General features: G+C 35.6%; 1 protein-coding gene across 4 annotated transcripts in view, besides 1 other annotated feature; it reads left to right on the forward strand.

Annotated features, from left to right (window-relative positions):
- ZNF407 (zinc finger protein 407) overlaps window positions 1-18,849 on the forward strand; it is a 467,802-nt gene that overhangs the window by 249,161 nt on the left and 199,792 nt on the right. The window lies entirely within an intron of this gene.
- Window positions 8,686-10,296: an enhancer, noted in NCBI's record as "VISTA enhancer hs824". NCBI's record gives its function as "enhancer in: limb[6/6]" and the evidence as "EXISTENCE:transgenic organism evidence [ECO:0001131][PMID:17130149]".

Genomic DNA, 18,849 nt, shown 5'->3' on the forward strand with positions numbered 1-18,849 from the left:
GCACTTTTGCTATTTGCTCAAAATGATTCTCTTAGGATGTTCTACTGAGAGATGCCTTTATAGACTCGGTAACCAATTTATTTTCTTGTGCAATAGAGTTTGAATTACATTTAAGATTAATTTTTTACATGCTTTAGTAAGAATAAATAAGCAAAATAATGAAAAACAGTGTTTCCCCCTACAATCCACAAGCATAAACATTAAGGAACACAGCTTTGAAGGGTGTTTATATGGGACAGTGTTTAACAGAAAGTCCTATTACAATATTAACTCTAAATGCATCTCACTTCTCTCATATCAACCACTCCATGTTTTTCTCCCTAGGCCTTAGCTGAAAAATACTTGGCTTTCTATCTTTCCTCTAAGACCTCTTCCCACTTCAAAACTGTTATCGTTGAATTATTAATTTCAGTTCAAAAGCTCTTTGCTTTAAAGTTATAAGGGTCTAGGTTTTCATGATTCTCATCAAGAGTCAAAATCTTACTGGTTCTCATCTTTTTAACTTTCTATTTTTTAATTTCTTTTTTTCTCTTTTGGCAAACATGAGGAAGAAACTGCCAGCAGAAATACAGGTGGAAGCACCTCCTACTATAGCCTTCTCTTGTATTTTTAAAGCAGCTTTGTCATATGGTTAATGAAGGAGAAAGTCGACAACATGTGTAGTGTGTATGTCTGCTGTCAGCATATTGCAGTGTGTGACCATGTTTGTTTCCAGTTATCTGAAGTATCTTCCCAATCTGATATCTCTTCCTTTAAAGAATTTTTTGTCATTTAAAAATAATCATGTTTATTCTATGATATGTATAAAATGAGGTAAAATACAAAAAAAAAAAAACACGCTACCCAGCACAGTGTTTTCATCCTTCTCTCACGTTGGGAACCTTTCATCCAAGATACACCTTTTTTTCCTCTCATGTAAGGCTATTGTCGTGTGTGTATACTGACTAGTTTTTTCAGCTGGACTTTTTATAAACTTAAATTTAGAAGTGATGCCTTTTTTTCTAATTACAAATTTGTTTATTTCTAGAAATTATTACCTTGAAATCCATATATTTTATAGCGTGACAAACCTGAACTCATATAGGATTTTTCACAGACATACATTGTTTTCCAGACTTATTATATATTTCATTGAAACATGTCTGAGGACCATAAACTACAGCTTAATAATGATATGAATTGAGAAACGTTGAGAAGAACTGAGCAGTTGCTTGTTGCGCCACATTTCTGTTTCAGATATTAAGGAAGTTTATCAATGATTTGAAATAAGGTCAGCAGAGTCATTTTTGGGTGATACTTGACTGGAAAGTTTTGGAGTTTCTTGAAGGAATTGAAACAATAAAACCGTAAAAAAGAATGAAAAGAAGGTACAGGAAGTAAGGCCAGTGCTTACACTGGGTTGTGACGGATGCTTTATGTCTACATGGGCATGTGGGCAAGATGATGGCTGCTGTAATTCAGCTGTCTAATCCTTGGTTTCAATGAACATCTCATCTTTGGTTTCATTGTTTTGTAGAAGCTAGAAAATAAAATATAACAAAGAAACAGAATGTAAATTTGATAAAATATTTTATATTTTTATATAAATACCTCAGTAGGCAAAACTTTTTATTCCTCAAGTTATAACACTGATCATTGGAGACACATGGGCAAGAGTTGAGCCGTAAGGCCAGCAGCATCTTTTTCTCGCTTCAGCTCCTGAGGTTGACATACTTTCATGTACCCAAAGTGTTGCCCCGTTTCCACAGTATAAAGGTGAGAAGATCTCTGGCTAGAATTTAGGCTACTTTCATAGAGGCTATTCATAAGCTGTGTCCCTGGGACAAGTTTCTAAACCATCCTGAGCCTTTGTTTTTGTGATGTATGCGTGAATATTAGATTGTCATCAAAGTCTGTTTCACAGTCAATTCTAGCTTGAAAATTCTGCGTTGTACTGAAGTGGCAAACCATGGATTTGAAGTCACATGAATTTGGATTCCTTCAATGCCACTTCTTGTGGTGACTTTGGGCTACTTTTGTTTCTTTTTTTTTTTTTTATTTTTTATTTTTTGTTGCTGTTGTTGTTGAGACGGGGTTTTTCTCTTGTCACTCAGGCTGGAGTGCAGTGGCGCAATCTCGGCTCACTGCAACCTCCGCCTCCCGGTTTCAAGCAATTCTCCTGCCTCAGCCTCCCAAGTAGCTGGGATTACAGGCGCCTGCCACAACACCCAGATAATTTTTTGTATTTTTAGTAGATACGGGGTTTCGCTATATTGGGCAAGCTGGTCTCGAACTCCTGACCTCGTGATCCGCCCGCCTGTGCCTCCCAGAGTGCTGGGATTACAGTCGTGAGCTACTGCACCCCGCCGTTTCTTTGCTTTTCTAAGCACAGCTTTTTCATCTCTTAAAAGGTAGTTGTAATGTTTACCTTATAGAGGCATTTTGAGGTGTAAATGAGACCACATCTGTACAGTTCCACAGAGTATCTTCTTTAGATGAGAAAGTGTGTGGTCAGGGGTGGGGGACGGGGAGTTGTCAGACTCTGTGCCTTGAGACCCTGGGTTCACAGCCATGAGCAAAGCAAAACAGTAGCGGTGCCCTGTCCGCTGCACCTCCGTGCTCTTCAGTCTTTAGTGCATTCCTGCCTACACCTGTGCACCTGCTTAGACAGTCATCCTTCCAGCGATGTCCTGAGAAAGAGACGAAGGAGATTCCCTGAGACTTACCACCATGGGTAGCATGCTTCTGGAGGAAATGAGTGCCAGCTTCAAGAAAAGATAATAAGATTGAAATCTCCTGTTTATGTACTGTGGAATATTGAAAAGTTGGCTGTGTAGAGTTTGATTTCCATTTAGTGCATGTAAGATAAGCTAACAAAACATTTTGTTTTTACTGGTCTTTGAACCTTTTATTAATGAATAAGTATAACTTATTTTCATAAGGAGGCTAATCCTTTCAGAAGAAAGCCTTTTGACTATGAGGCCATATGTTAAAATTAGAGGGAAAAATAGCCCCATTCATGAAATTATACCTGAAGCTGTGGAATAGGTGAATGGTACATTGTTTCTTTGATTGTGTCTCTTTTGTTGGAAGTTAAAGGGTTTTCCAGTGAAATTTTAAAAACACTGAACACTACAAATATTTACCATTTTTGCACTTTTATTTTACTAAAAGGTACAAGTCTATCTTGTTTTAAATGTTTTAGTGAAACACTGTTTTAAATCTTTTAGTGAAAACTCAAGATATTTTTTAAAAACTTGATTCCATGGTTAATGGATAGATTTCTTTGTTGCCCAATTTTCCTCTTCTTTCCTTTGATTTGTTTCTCCTAAAAAACTTGAGATGGGTCACTTCTTCAGCTTTAGTATATAGCTCTTAATTGATGTCCAGGGTGTCATCTTAATTCATACTTCTCTGTCTGTTCTATCCACGCATTCTACTCCTTTCCCTCTTTTCCTCCTTTCACTTGCCAGTACGCCTGTTTCCGTACCCTACCTTATGGCAGATGCACTCCCATGCCAGTGGGTCTAATCTATGAATTCAACGAATATTTTTATTTCTTAAATGTATAGATTTGACCAACCCTAAAACTTGATTACTTATACTCTTTTCTTTGGTTTATAACAAATAAAGGCTGATGCTTTCAGTTCCTTTCAGTTTCTGCTCAAATACTATTCTATTAGAAAAGTTTCCTCTCACTGTTCAGTTTCAAATGGTACTCCACACCCATGTAGCAGCCCCTTACTTGCTTGATTTTTCTTCATAGCACTGACCTTCGTGTTCCGTATTATGTTTATTCAGTTTTTCCAACCACTAATAAAGAACTCTCGAGAGCACAAACTGGGTGTTTTCTTGTCCATTGCTATTATCATCAGCACCTGGATTAGAGAGTGTCTGAAACTGCATTAGGCTCTCAATAAAGATTTCTTAAATGAATGAGTGATTAGAATTCAAACTGTATATCTGGAGGTCCATAAAAATAATTCCCCTGATAAGGATTCTTTTTGCCTGTCTGCTGTTACTTACGGTGTTCTTTGGTTTGCATGGAAAACTATGGTTCTCCTTGATACACATTTTGAAGATAAATTAACGTGTAGAAAATGTTTAAAAGTATTTTTATAAACTCAGTTCCTAGCAGTGATATCGTAATAGGACTGATTATTCAAACGTCTTTTCTTAAGTATAAATTGTACAGTTGTTCTTGGGAAGTGTTTATGCTCCATGCAAGTATGATCTATGAGACACTTCATTATTGCCGCGAGTTCTCGCTATTCCTGTGCATACTTATGTGAGCCACAAGTTACTGACACATTTCTTTCTTTTTTAACAAGCAGAGAACATGTATAATCATGGCAGTATTCCCTGATATAAAACATTTATGTGATTTTCATGATTCTGAAAATTAGAGAAATGTCATGAGTGGTTACACATTTATGTATTATACTTATATATGTTCATTTGAAGTATTTTACATTATCAGAAACTTGGGAGTATGGCCACCTGAATGTGACCCAGGCACAAGGGCGCGAGGCTGTGCGTGAGGTGTGGAGCATGGCAATTGGTCCTGGTGACCAAGATTAATGAAACTCAGATGGGTTTTAATTAGTGCAGCTGCAGTCATCAATTATCTACTGAACACAAATATTGTTATATTTGGGAAATTCTTGATTTATTTTATTCCACTGGCCAGCAGATTTAGATGAATGAGTTCTCATCATAAACATTCTGAGAAAAATCGCCAGAGGCCACAGTTTATTATTTAGGACACAATCAGCAAGAGTGAACAATACAGAACAAAACGATGCAAAGTGCCCTTAGCATTCATTTGGAATTCTTGCTGGAATGTTCGGCTTGTACAGGTTGTCAAAAACATTAGGGCATCTTGAACAAAAGTTAGAGCAGTCTATCAAGAAAGGAATGTGCAACTCTGATTATGGAGAGGGTGCTCCTTAAGAGACATCAGAGCGCATGCACTGAAAGGGTAGCAGCCGCATGGCAGTGGTTGGGTCATAGAGGCATCTCCTGCTCCACTCCAGGGACACATTGTCACGGGAGCATGGACAGGCGCCTACCGCGGCAGAGAATAGGAACGCTGAGTCAGGACTTTCTGGTCCTAAAAACATTCTGTGTTTATCTGTATGCATGGATGCATGCTACACACACACACACACACACACACACACACACACGCACGCACGCACGCGCACGCGCGCGCGCATTGCTGGCTTTATTTTTCTTCTAAAATAATTTAACAGAAATTTTAAAAGTAATTTTTAAAATTTATACCCTTGAATTAAACAGGTATAGGAAATATGCATAACTTTTGAGGGGAGGGAATAGTATTTATACCTAAAAAAGAACTGTGACACATGTCAAATTGACAACTAGCTGTATCAAACTAAGATAATTTTCACATTTGTAAGTTAAATTTGGAACAAAATCTGGAATTATTTTTAGAATGAAGACTATATAATATAAATTTTTATTATTAAATATAGTAGCATTATTTCTGAGCAAGTTTTCTCATAGTTTGTAATTTAATATTTTGAGCTCTGTAATTTAGAGTATCTGGTAGAGTTTTGTAATAATAGCTACACATTAAACATGATTTCATTTCTTCACTTTCTTATAATATCAAATATCTGTCAAATCTTATTCAACAGAAGGGGGCAAAAGAAGGAAGTGAGCTTGGGTGCACATTCTCGTTTTAAATTAGAGTGTAAGGTGGTAGCCAAGAAGGCTGTTCTGAAAAATGAGTTGTAAGTCATAACCGAGGCTTCATAAAAAATCAATTGCAAATGATTTTTTCAAGGTTTGTGATGTGATACTTGATTTATATTAGGTTAGGAGTAGTTCACTTCTGAAATACATTTATTACAATTTTCTAAATCTTGTATTATGTATACAATTTCTGTTTGCTGTATAATTTCATAGTCAACTGGTTCTTTAATGGATTAGTCAAATTAATTAATATCACAATTTAATCCAAATTATGATTCCTTAAGGAACAAGAAACTGTGGCTAGTTTCTAAGTGTGGATCATGTTGGCTAGTATTCGTTCTGGCTGAGAAGGTCCACCTTTTTCCCTAGGAAAGGAAAAAACGTATCAAATGTGTGTACATCTTTGCTACACTAGATTAGAATGGCTTTTATCATATCTGAATTGTCAGAGAGCTTGCAATTAATGCTCCTAGCCACTACTGTTGTCTTTGTATCATTTCATAAATATTGTGATTTCTGAGCATACTTCTATGGCATTCATGTTTTATAGAGTAAATCGTAGAAAGCCTTCCGTTTTCCAGTTAACAGATGGAGGAGCTTTTGTTCACTGAACCAAGTTTCTTAGGAGGAGGATTTTATTTGTTTTGCATTCATTCATTTGTGATTATACTTTACCACTCAGGAACACATCCTGCACCTCTGAACTGACTTGTCTGAGTGGCCAGACATCCTGAGATTGGGGCCAGAGTTGTCTTCTTTGCATCGTTAGGCTTTACGATTATAGATTTTGGTTTGTAATTGAATAGTTATTCTTTTTCATAAAGTTTTAAAGAATTTAATATGCCTGTGATCTTAACATTCACCTTTAACTGTAACTCATATGTCCTTCATTACAAAGAGTCTGCAGCGCTACCTGTCAGAACCATCTGTACTTCTGCCCATTTCCAGCATGTTATCTTTGTTGCTTTACTTGTCTGTGTTGCTGCTCTCTGTTTGTTCATCTGTCCATCCCCACTGTGTACCCACCCAGCAATCTACCTCAAAATTAAGGAGACAGTTTTCCAAGTCTGACAAGCAGTAGGAGACAAGTGTGGCTTAAGTGTGGTGTGCACAACGGTAGTGCTAATAGACCAGGAGGGGATGCGAGCGGGGCTTAGATTATGTCAGTTCTTAGAAGTCATGGTAAAGAATTGGGATTTTGTTTTCGGATCAGTGGGAAGCCACTGGACAAATTTTAATGACTTCATGGCAGAATTTATTGATCATTTAGTTTCCAGACCTCTTAACATTACCTGTCACATATATAATGGTTTGCGAATGTCTGGCGGATGAGTGAGGGGGCCCAGCCTCTCTGACTGCTTTACAGGGTCAGCGTGAGGGGTTTAATGTCTTGCACCACAGTATCCACCCCTGGGGACAGGTGATACGGGAGGCAGTGTTTTATGACTAAAAGAGTCCTAGACAAAAGTCAAAAGATCTGTGTTTTACCACTCTCCAGCAGTTTATGGAAGTCCTAAATTTTGTTTCCTTAGTTGTTAAATTAGTGTGTTAGATAATTTGTAAGATTACTTGGTATTCTAATGTTCTTTGATTATATATAGTGTTTACTGTGAGAAATGTGTCTTCTAATCAGCATAGTATGAGCTACCTACATGGAGACAAATAAGCATCTCTTACAAAATTCATACTTTTGCTGTAACAAGTAGTGATAATTTTACACAAACACTTTATTTCCTTGGTTTTGAATCTATAATATAAAACATTAGCTTATGAGGCCCTGTGACATTTCTTGTCAAAGAATGAAAAGTTTAAGCTTTAGTTATTATGGCAAAATAATAACATTAATTTTCCCATGAAGTTTTTGAAAAATAATCTCCCCCTTTAAAAATATTTATTGAGATTGGATTGTTTTTCTCAATTCCTTTTTTTAATAATCAAATATTTCATACATACAACAATATATATTACACACCCAATGCACTACACAGACACACACACATAGCCTATATATATAGTATCAAGAATAATGACAGAAACAACCTTATAGCACCCATGCAGCTTAAGACATGCACCCGAACCGCTGCCTTTGAAGTGTTCTGCGGGCTTCTCTCTGGCTGCATCCTTTTCATTTCCCCAGAGCTGACCACTGTCCAGATTTCTGTTTCTCATATTAAACATAGATTATTGAAACCTAGTACTAACTTATAGATTAGTGAAATATTTCTTTCTTGTTAGGCATTTTTATTCTCAATCTATATATAGTTTTCAATTTCCAGTCTTTAGAACACACCATTATGTGTTCTCTAAAAAATATTTTATATTTCTTTGGAAACTTATTCTGTTAGTAAATGGAAATGACTTAATAACTCAACCTATAAATAAGTTGTGCTTAGTTTCACTGATGCTTTAGAATTTGGGCTCTGGCCTCAGTACAAGACATTTGCAAACCATCAGATCTATTGGTTTTGCTAAGATTGTTTGTTCTATTTTGTAGGCTAGGGTGCATACCTACGGGAGCTTTTATTTCAATAGGCCACTATTGATTTGAAAACACATTAACTTTATCATGCTAAAGCTTTGTTGATGCTTATTGCTAAAGAAGGATTTTCAAAATGTGATCCATAATAATAAAGCAAAACGTATGTTTAAAATTGTTTAACAGTCGTTGGAAGATACATGTAGCATAATTTAACAGTAATAATCACAAAAGCTTGGTACTTTTAAATCCAATATCCAATATTTTTTTGAACCTTTTATCTCTTAGTTTTCATATTCCCAAAAGCCATAATGTGAAATTACTATTACTTTTAGTGTTTCATAAATTTCAAAATAATTTAAAAGAATAACAATATGAATAAAATGTTCTGATATTTAATACATACAGATTATGTTTTTGCACTCATAATCTTGGGGTTGTACATTTCCACCATAAGATTTCTCAAAAGTTGCAATGGGTTTTGTAAAAATAGCAAATATCCTCTAGCAAATATCTTCTGGCCTCTTGTATAATGCATGCAACTTATTGTAAATTAACTGTTTGTTTGAAGCTTATCTGAATTCTTGTTGGGGGTAGCTGTGAAGAGGGAGGGTGGAAACACCTAACAACAGGAGAGATTATTTGGTGTTGGAAGTTATACTTTACATTTTTGCTTTATCCCATTCAATTTGACTTGATACACACCTCACACTGAAAGGCGTGTAGAGAGCTGCCGTATTATCACTTTGTCAAAGGCTGTGACAACAGCCCTAACAATAAGAGAGTCTTCCCTTTTGTTTACAACACTTACATGTCTTGGCGATTAGAACTTTCCCTTTCTTCTCTGAATAAAATTGTTTTGTTCGGACTTTTTTTGTTCCAGTGAGGAGAAGGAAATAAAAGCAACCCTATTTTCTATTACAAATTATCATAAATATTGGAGATGCAGATTTTTCTTAGATCATTAGCATATCATGCTGCGACCCACACCAGAATGTACCATTAACAAAGCAGCCTTCATGTAATTAATGTAAATAATATGGAATACAGCTTGAGTTACCCAGTCAGCCTTGGCAAAAGCATTTGTCACAACGCATCATCTAAGGAGCTCGGCCCCAATTCAAATTAAACTTCATGGGTTTGCCCCTTTATTTTTTCCTCTCACGCTATAAATTCCTGTGAAACATTTATGACTATAAATTTCTTTGAAACACCTATATAGGAGAAGAAAGCAATCTAGTAAGCTGAAATTAAAATTTTATTATTTACTATGCTTCTGCTGGTGAGGACAATTAGTATCTTTATAAAGCCAGAAATGTAGAACCTGGGGATGCAGCTGAGGGTTTTTCTTCCCATCCTTGGAAGTGTTTTCTGTCCTCTGTAGCTGCCAGCAAATCTAAAGTATGGTTTCTGTCTGCCATTTGCTACTATTGCCCTCTGACTCCAAAACACAGAGGAGCATTGTAAATTTTTCATGAAGAGGTTTCAGTCTGTAAAACAGCAAACAGGAATAATGTTTTAAATGCAATCATTGTCAAGTTTGAACAATGTAATTTATCAAGAGAGCAGTTTGTACTATATAATAAGTTTCATATATTAATACAATTTTTCATCTGATGTCAGGCTTCTGATTTATGAATAGCCCATGATCTAAGGTGATCATTGAATTATAATTCAAGTAATAAGAAGCCAGGAACAAGACACTGGAACTGCTATCCTGCGTTAGCTTACATGCCACCAAGCCAATTTACTAAACAACCGTGGGCTAAATGATACAGTTTTTCTAATTCAAAGAAGGCACTCGTTAATTAGATAAAGGCTAAAGCTCTCATTATTTTTAAATGATTTAAGAACGGGTAAAGATCTTACAGCGTATACTGCAGCTCTAATAGTTCTCTGCTTACTGCCTTGTAATAAGAGTATTAAAGACAGATGGGCAAGGCCGATTTAAACCAATTACAGCGTTTCATGTACACCAGCAGCAATGACTATTCACAGGCACTTCAGAGGCTGATATTCGACGTGTTTCAGATGGCTAACACAGCACTGATTAATGTGATTTATGAATAATTTGTTTTCTTCTGCTAATTTTGGGGGAATAACCATACTTCTGGACTATGTTTAATAGTTTTTGAGAATTATTTCATATTCTTCCTTAATATTTACAAGTATTTTATAGATGGTTAACTTTCTGATAAACCAAAGTAAGGAAACAAATCAATTTATTTTAATTCCTTGAATTTATTGAGCACCTGTTAGGTGCTAGGCACTAGGCTAGGCTCTGGGGAAATCTGTAACTCATAAATAAGTTTAATTTTAAATCTTTTGATTCTTGTGATGGAAAATGGATAACACATTCTAAAAAAAAAATCAGATCATTGTCAGTAATTATTTAAGAAATAAATATAATACTTCAGAAATTCTCATCAAAATACTTGTAAGAAGGTGAATTTGCCTTATAGTAATATCATAGTTTGTAATTATGTGAAAATTATGAGTTCATAAAGTAGCTTTTTTTTAAATTAATGAAGTACTGAGTACTTGAATCCTTTTGTCCATGTACTTTTATTGTTTGATTATATTTGGTTATATTTTATGTTGATGGCAAATGTATCTTATGATATCTCTTTGTGGTGTCATTCCTTTCCTTGGTATTGTGTTTTGGTTGTCTGGCTGTTCTTCCTCCCCTCCCCTCCCCTTTCTTCACCTCCCCTCCTCTCCCCTCCCCTCCCCTCCCCTTCCTTCCCCACCTTCCTGACTCCCTTTGCTTCCTTCCCTGACTCCTTCTACCTCTCCCCTTTCTTCCTTCCCTTCCTTCCCTCCCACCCTCTCTTCCTTCCCTTCCTCCCTTCCTTCCTTCATTTCCTACTTCCCCTCCTTTCCTTCCTTCCTCCCTTCCTTTGCTCCCTCCCTCTCTTCTTCCCTCCCTGCCTCCCTCCTTCCCTTCCTCTCTCCCTCCCTTCCCTCCCTCCTTCTTTCCTTTTTTCCTGCCTTCCTGCCTGCCTTCCTCATGACAGAAATAATGAATGTCCACGTATTAACACCCCCTTTTCTGTAAATATTTTTTATTTTAAATATATTTCCTATGGGTACCATCAATATAATTTGTTTTTGTATTAACCTCCTCTTACTTATTGTTTTCTATTTTGCTGTTGCAGTGGTCATCTTCAGATTCAGCTGATTGTATTTATAGAAAGCATCTACTTTGTACAGCCAAATGGTAGCCATACTACCTATCCTGAAAAATAGTCACTGGCTGGCTTTTTAGTATAGCTTGAATTTGGCATTCCCTTCATGAATTTGTTTTCTGTAAGTTGATATAATCTTTGAGGGAACAGGTAGTACTTGTGTAAGCTGTTTCTTGTGGAGGACGCAGTCTGGGGGCTGTTGGTGACCATCACTTCTCGAGGCTTGCAGATCCTAGTGGACTGTGACCTTTCTGCCCTGTTCAGTCATCTTCCACTTTTCCTTATTGATCTCAATGTTTCATGTAGTTCTTTCAAAATTGTTGGGCATATGCTTAAACATATAGCAATAAATTTCTAGATTCAAGAAAAATATTAATATATGACCAATAATGTTGAGCATGTGCTTCAAATCCCTATGAAAGAAACTGGAAAAGGAAAGGGTTAAAGGAGATCAGGAAAGGACAATCAGACACATTAACAATTTCAGATTGTTCTGCATTTTTCCCTTTTTGCCCTTTTTTTTTTGTCTTTTTTAAAAAATTTCCTTATCTGAGCAACAAGATACGTTATTAATGGCCCCTGAGTACAGCGAGTTATTTGTTATGGTAACTTTTGACCTGTTTAATAAGTACTCAAGCTCTGTAGTGGAGTTTTTATTGTACTCCGCAGTGTACGGTTATGAAGTGTGGTACATAATAAAATAAAAGCAATAATGCTGATATTTCTGAGGGATCCATCAGAGCTGACCTGAAGCAACATATTTCATCTGGTTTGTCTGGGTACGCATGTTGAAAGTTATAGCTGAAATTACTAGAAACAATATTGTGTTTATGACTTCTAATTGTTTACCATTATAAGTAACATCACCCTTTGTGATTCCCAAAACTGTTTCTATCACAGTTCATTAATGCTGGTGTCTAGAAACAAATGAAAAAGACTAGAAATACATTATAGTGTTAGGCAGTCAGACGTTTTCAGCTAAATGTTAGTATTTAACGTGTAACACTGGAAAGATCAAATGTGGGGCAGTTCTGAAAGGAAACCAGAGAGCACAGGTCAGTTTTTAGCTGTATGTAGGTTTTATATGTGTGTAATGTTCAGACCTGTGTTTCATAAAATCATTAATTTAACTCGAGATGGATTTTTGTAGGAAAGTAGAAAGATAATTAAGGAGGAAGCAAATCTTTTCATGAGAAAGTATAGGATAGGTTTCACAGCGTTGTCCTGAGAAGGAGAATTGCTTGATATTGGAATAGATTGCCATTTGAATCTAAAAAATACATTTATCTGTGAAAAGATAAATTACTTACTTTGAGATGTTATTTATGTGTTTGCTTGTCTCTTTTCCTTATCAGATTTTATGTACCTGGAGGATAGGCCCTGTGTCCTATTTATCTTTGTATTTCCAGAACACAGGATAGGACCTGGCCCCATGGTAGATGTTTAAAAGATGTTTGTTTAATTGATAAATTAATAGTAGAGATACTTGAACTTTTTTCCTTCCAGTAGCTCACAAATAGTGTCATACCTAAGAAAACGAGAAACAAATGGTGTCCTCTCAACACAGTTAAGATATTCAATACTCCCTTCATGGCTACTGCCTAGCTTTGTCTTATTAAAAGAGAATATGGCCAGGTACAGTGGCTAACGCCTGTAATCTCAACATTTTGGGAGATCGAGGCTGGAGGATTGCTTGAGCCCAGGAGTTTGAGACCAGCCTGGGCAACATTACAAGACCCTGTCTCTTTTAAAAGATAAAATAATCCATCAGGTGTGGTGGTGCGTGCCTGTGAACCTAGCTTCCCAGAAGGAGGATCCCTTGAGCCTGGGAGTTCAAGGATGCAGTGAGCTATGATTACACCATCGCACTCTAGCCTTGGCAGCAAAGCAAGACCCCATCTCTTAAAAAAAACGAAGAAGAAGAAGAAGAAGAAGAAAATTCATAGGTCTCCATCACCCAGACCACTTTGAATGCTTTTATTTGTATGAAAATCACATGCCTATATTTGTTGAGAAGTATGTAATTGTTAAATAACTAAAGTTTGACCCAGAATAATTTGTAACTTAGATACTAAATTGCAGAACCTCTATATTATTATTATTATTATTATTATTATTATGTCTTAGACAAGCAAAAAATGAAATCGTCTATTTTCAGCAAGTTCATAATATTTATACAGATACAATTTACTCATTATCTTTCTACTAACATTTTTGTTGCTGCCAAAGTAAGTTTTAAACCATGTTTTTAGATTCATCAAACCGTACCAGTGTGTTAATTCTGTAATTTTTGTTTTGGGTATCATAGTGGGGATAAGAAGTAGGTTAATTAATACCAGATGACTTTTTCAGCATTCTTTCATCTCAGTGTTACGGTTTTTTAGGACTGTGATAAGTCATTGGCATTTCATTCATTTAATGGACTATTGCAAAAATATTCATTATAAGACATGGCAGCTGTAAAAATAGTAACACTTATGTATTACCATTATGTTTTGTGTGATTGTGTTTCATATTTTATAAATAAAGCTATTTAGCTTTATTTCTGAATGATTTCTGAGGTCGTACTACAAATATGGACACATGAATAAGTGTGTTAAAATGGTTGAGCCTTAAAAATGTACCTTGGGAGCAGTCACCTTTCCCCACCCATTGTGTCCGCCTCTTTTTATATGGCCTGTAATCCTAGGGTTGGAAAACCTGATTGGACCTCCAGCAAGTACTCTGATGTTAATCAGCCTAGTGTGCAAGACAGAAAAGCTGATAGTCCAAAATTGCACTTTAAGCTAAGACAGACTGTCAGTCTTCAGGAATGGTGGGGAATGGCCTATTTATGTAATCAGATACTAAACCTGGGAGGAAGCTGTCAGGCACATTCTTGTTGTGTAAGCAGCAGGCAAACTGTGCTTTATCTGACAGACAGTGTGTAAATCTGTCCATGCAAAAATCCAAATGTTTAGTTTGCTTCTAGTCACTGTAATAATCTGCTTATTTTCGTCTGCTAGAGCAATGACATCACTTAGCGGAATGTGCTGCAGACAGAAGGCCCAGATAAGGCTATGTTAGTGTCAGTCACTCATTCCTTGATTGGCAAGGAGATAAATAGGAATTTACTCGACGTTTGCTTTCAACTAAAAGAATAGACAACATATTCAGGACAGGAATAACTTTATTTAGCTTGGTTATTTTACATCTGAAGGAAATGGATAGAATACATTGTATCTAATTATAGCTTCTAGGAACGAGTAGCCTACCATATCGATAACGATTGAATAATTGTGCCCAAAGGGTATCTTCTTTGAATTCTTAGGATGTTTGTACTGCTATATATATTTAGTTATTTCATTGACTTTTATATTCGTGTTATATTCAATACCCTTTCATGTTTTTCATTTAAAAAATATTTTTATTTCATTATTTCCTTACTGTAAATGGTAATGATTTTGTGAATATGGATATTTAACTATGAATCTGTAAATTAAATCCTACTCTTGAGGATAAATTGAAGTTTTTAATTCTGAATTTATGACTTTCAAGTCACATAGAGTTACAGATTAATTCAGTGTTTTCATAGGTGCTTAGTGAGAATAGAATATCTTTCCATGATTTAAAGATTAATATTTCATTAGATATTAATTGTGAATAGTATTTTCTTTGATACCCACTGGATAAGACTTAGAACTTTAGGAATTTTCTTTAAAAGTTCTCTAAAATTGTTTAAATTTGTTATTAAAATCTTCATTTTGGTTTTATCCAATACATAATTCCTTTGTTAACTACAAATAATGGATGGAAACATTGTTGGTTATTTTAAGCAGTGAGGAAACCTAGGTCCTAGAGCAGAGTATTTTATGACCGGTAACTTTACAGAACACACGCCAGAGCTCTCACTCAGGAAAGCTGGCTGCACGTTGGATCGAGTGTGGCACACACAGTTCCCTGGGTCTACAGATGCTGTAAGTAGCCAGATATGTCTGGGAGCAGCCAAATGTTTTTCTGAGAATTTTAACAACAGTGATAGGAGAGAAATAAAAAAAAATTAAATCATACATTTATGAAACCCTGATGTTAACCTTATAGAATAAATGTATAATTGCAGTTCTGCTGTTTTTACTATAAAGCTGTAGCTATCTTTTTGTTTTGTTTGCCGAAGTACCAAGATATAAAATGCATTTATGTAGTACTGTATCGAAGTTATTTATTACTTTAATACATGATAGTGGGTCCACATAATTTGTCAAATTTTAATTGGTTTTGTCACTTGTCAGAGTCAAATCTCCCAAATTGTCAAATAAATTTATTTTAGAATCATACATCCTAAAATTTGATAATTCTGAAGTTTTTCTTCTTCAGCTTTGCTTCCCTTTTTGCCAACTCTTATTCATCCTGTTAGTCCCTGGTCAGATCTGTGTTAATTCAGGTAAAAGTTAGAATTCAGTCAGAGGACTTGTTTACTTTATAGTAATTAAAATGTGTTAATATTTTTGCCTGTGTTCCCCAGAGGAAAAGTTTCTCATTATTTCTCACTTTTTTTTTTTTTTTTGAGATGAAGTTTTGCTCTTATTGCCCAGGCTGGAGTGCAGTGGCACGATCTTGGCTCATTGCAACCTCCGCCTCCCAGGCTCAAGTGATTCTCCTGCCTCAGCCTCCCAAGTAGCTGGGATTACAGGCACACACCACTACGCCCGGCTATTTTTTATATTTTTAGTAGGGATGGGGTTTCACCATGTTGACCAGGCTGGTCTTGAACTCCTGTCCTCAGGTGATCCTCCCACCTCGGCCTCCCAAATTGCTGGGATTACAGGTGTGAGCCACCGCACCCGGCTCACTTGGGTTTTTTTTCTAGGTATTTCATACTTCCACCTCTTCTGCTTGTAAGTGACATTGTATGTATTCCTTAGTGCTTGATTGCGTATTATTTTGAAGAATAATAAATATCAGTAATTAATATAAACTTATTTGCTATGCAGAATATTAGAAATTTGGGGAGATATACAACACACATCTCTACATATTCCATGAGGTGTTTGTCAACATGAGGACAAGTGTTTCTTCTGTCTTTTACCACCTCCAGTTCTTAGCTCTTTTGTTTTTGTGAATAGCATCATGTGAATTCCAGTGGAATGTTTTGTCCTTATCTTTTGGTTATTTATACACCATAAGTCTCCTTTTATTTGACTAGTTGCTAGTCTAGATTTTATGAAAGGAAAACAAAACCATTCTTTATATTGCTACTATCTTTTTATTAAGGATTTTTCAGACTGCAGCGAATTAAAGGACCAGAAGTTATTTTACTGAAGATAACAACTCTATTATGTTTTTCTATTCTAGTCTCACAATTTTAGATGAGACTTTTCAGTTTAATAATTGAGCACCTACTGTATGTAAGCATGATGGAACCTAATTGGGGTGTTGGCTACAGCATGTATTCTCTATTCTTTTGCTGTTACTATTCCACCACCTTTGCATATCTGAACCTCTGGTTTTATAGTATTATAAAGTTATGCCTGGCAGTGTAATTTATTGTAATGTTATTTTCTTATTTTTGTTTTTTTGTTTTTTTAACTATCTTAGACAAATTAAATAATAAAGAAACATTCAAACCTCTGTCTCCTGCAAGTCAGGTCTCTTTATTCCTGAGGATAATTAAATAGCATTTGGAGTGCATGTAGACTCTATGGGCAGGAAATATGACTGAGATAGAATTGTTCACTAATTATGATGGTTGGTTGGGCTGCAGCCACATAGATTGATTAGTTTTTTCAAAGATTACTCTTTGATTACTCTTCGTTAGAACCCTTCCTTCTTCTTCTGGAGAGGCATAACCTTTGGTAACATGCCTTCAGAAGTTTGAGAGTCGTACTACACCTTATCCTAGGACTGGATTTGGTATAAGGTTAGTGGAAATTAGAATTATAGGGTTTTATTATTGGATCATACTTCGAAGATAATTTATTCTAACTCGACTGACATGTAGAAATTAAGGCTGAAAAAACAAGTAAGCTGCCACTGTCACACAGCTGAGGTGGTGTCAGACTTGGTATCCCTTGCACTTCTGTGGCATGACCTCCTTCAAGCAGTTTGGTTTCCAGTTTTGAATATGTCATTGGGAACATAACTTATCAGAACACTTCTCTTCACATCCTGAGCCTTTGATAAAATTTAATTATGTAAAATTATTGAGTTTTATGAACATTTCTTAATCCATAATTTTTATGACCTTACTGATAGGCACTGTAAATGATACCAAAGAATGAAAATCAAAATATATTACCTTGCATTATTTCGAATTATTTAGGGAGTGTGTGAATATGAAAGTAGAAAATAATTGAAGTGTTAATGTTTATGAGGCAGTGTTGTATCAACTTGTGAGTGGCAAATAAGATCACAATAAGATGAGGATGCTTGCGTAATGTAGAAAATACAAGTGAAATCGTAAGCAAAGATAGGGCATTAGAGAAAGCCTGTCTGGTCTCTAAAGTTTGTTGACATATTTTTTCCATTGAGCACCTAGAACCATGTCCTATAATATGGTGATTGTGTTGTTACTCACTGCTAAGAGAAGATTCTTTAATTGTAATGAACAATATCTATAATTAGCTGTCAGCTCCATAGGGGGATGTATTAATATGAGTTCCCTGCATCTGTGAATACTTGAACCATCTCTTGAAGCCTCTGCTCCTATCTTTGCGCAGATGCTGTACTCACCACTCACCTGGGACTCTCCTTAGGCACCTGGCCAGGTACTTGGCCAACGCTCAGAGCTGACCCTGGTGTCACTTTCACTGCTTTTCCTTCTCAGAGCCAAAAGAGGAGTTGTCATTTGTGTGTGTGTAATTTCTTGGACATCAGTTCATTTCCATCTGAAAAATGTTTTAAAAAGAGAGACAGTAGCAATGTAAACAGTTGTGTGGTTTTGTTTTCTTTTTATCATAATATCTAAACTAGCAAGCGATTTAACTTTCATTTTTATTCTTTCCTTGCCCATAATTGAAAAAGTCCCTTTAATTGTTAACCTCATTTTGATAGCTTCAGTTAATTCTGTATGTTTATGTTAGCTTCCCTAACACTATACTTAATGCCAAATATAAATATATTTTATCACCTACATCCTTCCAGTCAGTTTTGATTATGCACTTAATAATATTATAAAGAAACTTAGTTTAATATTTTGAATGCTGGAAGGTACATAATAAATGATAATGTTATTCCACATGGCCTTTTGTTGCAGGTATTGAAAAATTAGTATAAATGATCTATATCCAGTATTTATTGATGTCTATCTGAATTTATCTTTTCAAAATAACTTAGAATATATGAGAAGTAGATTAAATCTGCAAATCTGTTTTGTAAAAAATTCATAATTGCACACATCCAATTTTAAAAATAAATTTCTTTTGTAGTGAAAGTACGCTAAATTAATATGTAATTGCTTGCTCTATGAGGTTTTTCCCAATGATACCTCACATATGTGTGTATTCTCTA

Source organism: Homo sapiens, chromosome 18 (assembly GCF_000001405.40).
Source record: "Homo sapiens chromosome 18, GRCh38.p14 Primary Assembly".
Taxonomy (NCBI): Eukaryota; Metazoa; Chordata; class Mammalia; order Primates; family Hominidae; genus Homo; species Homo sapiens.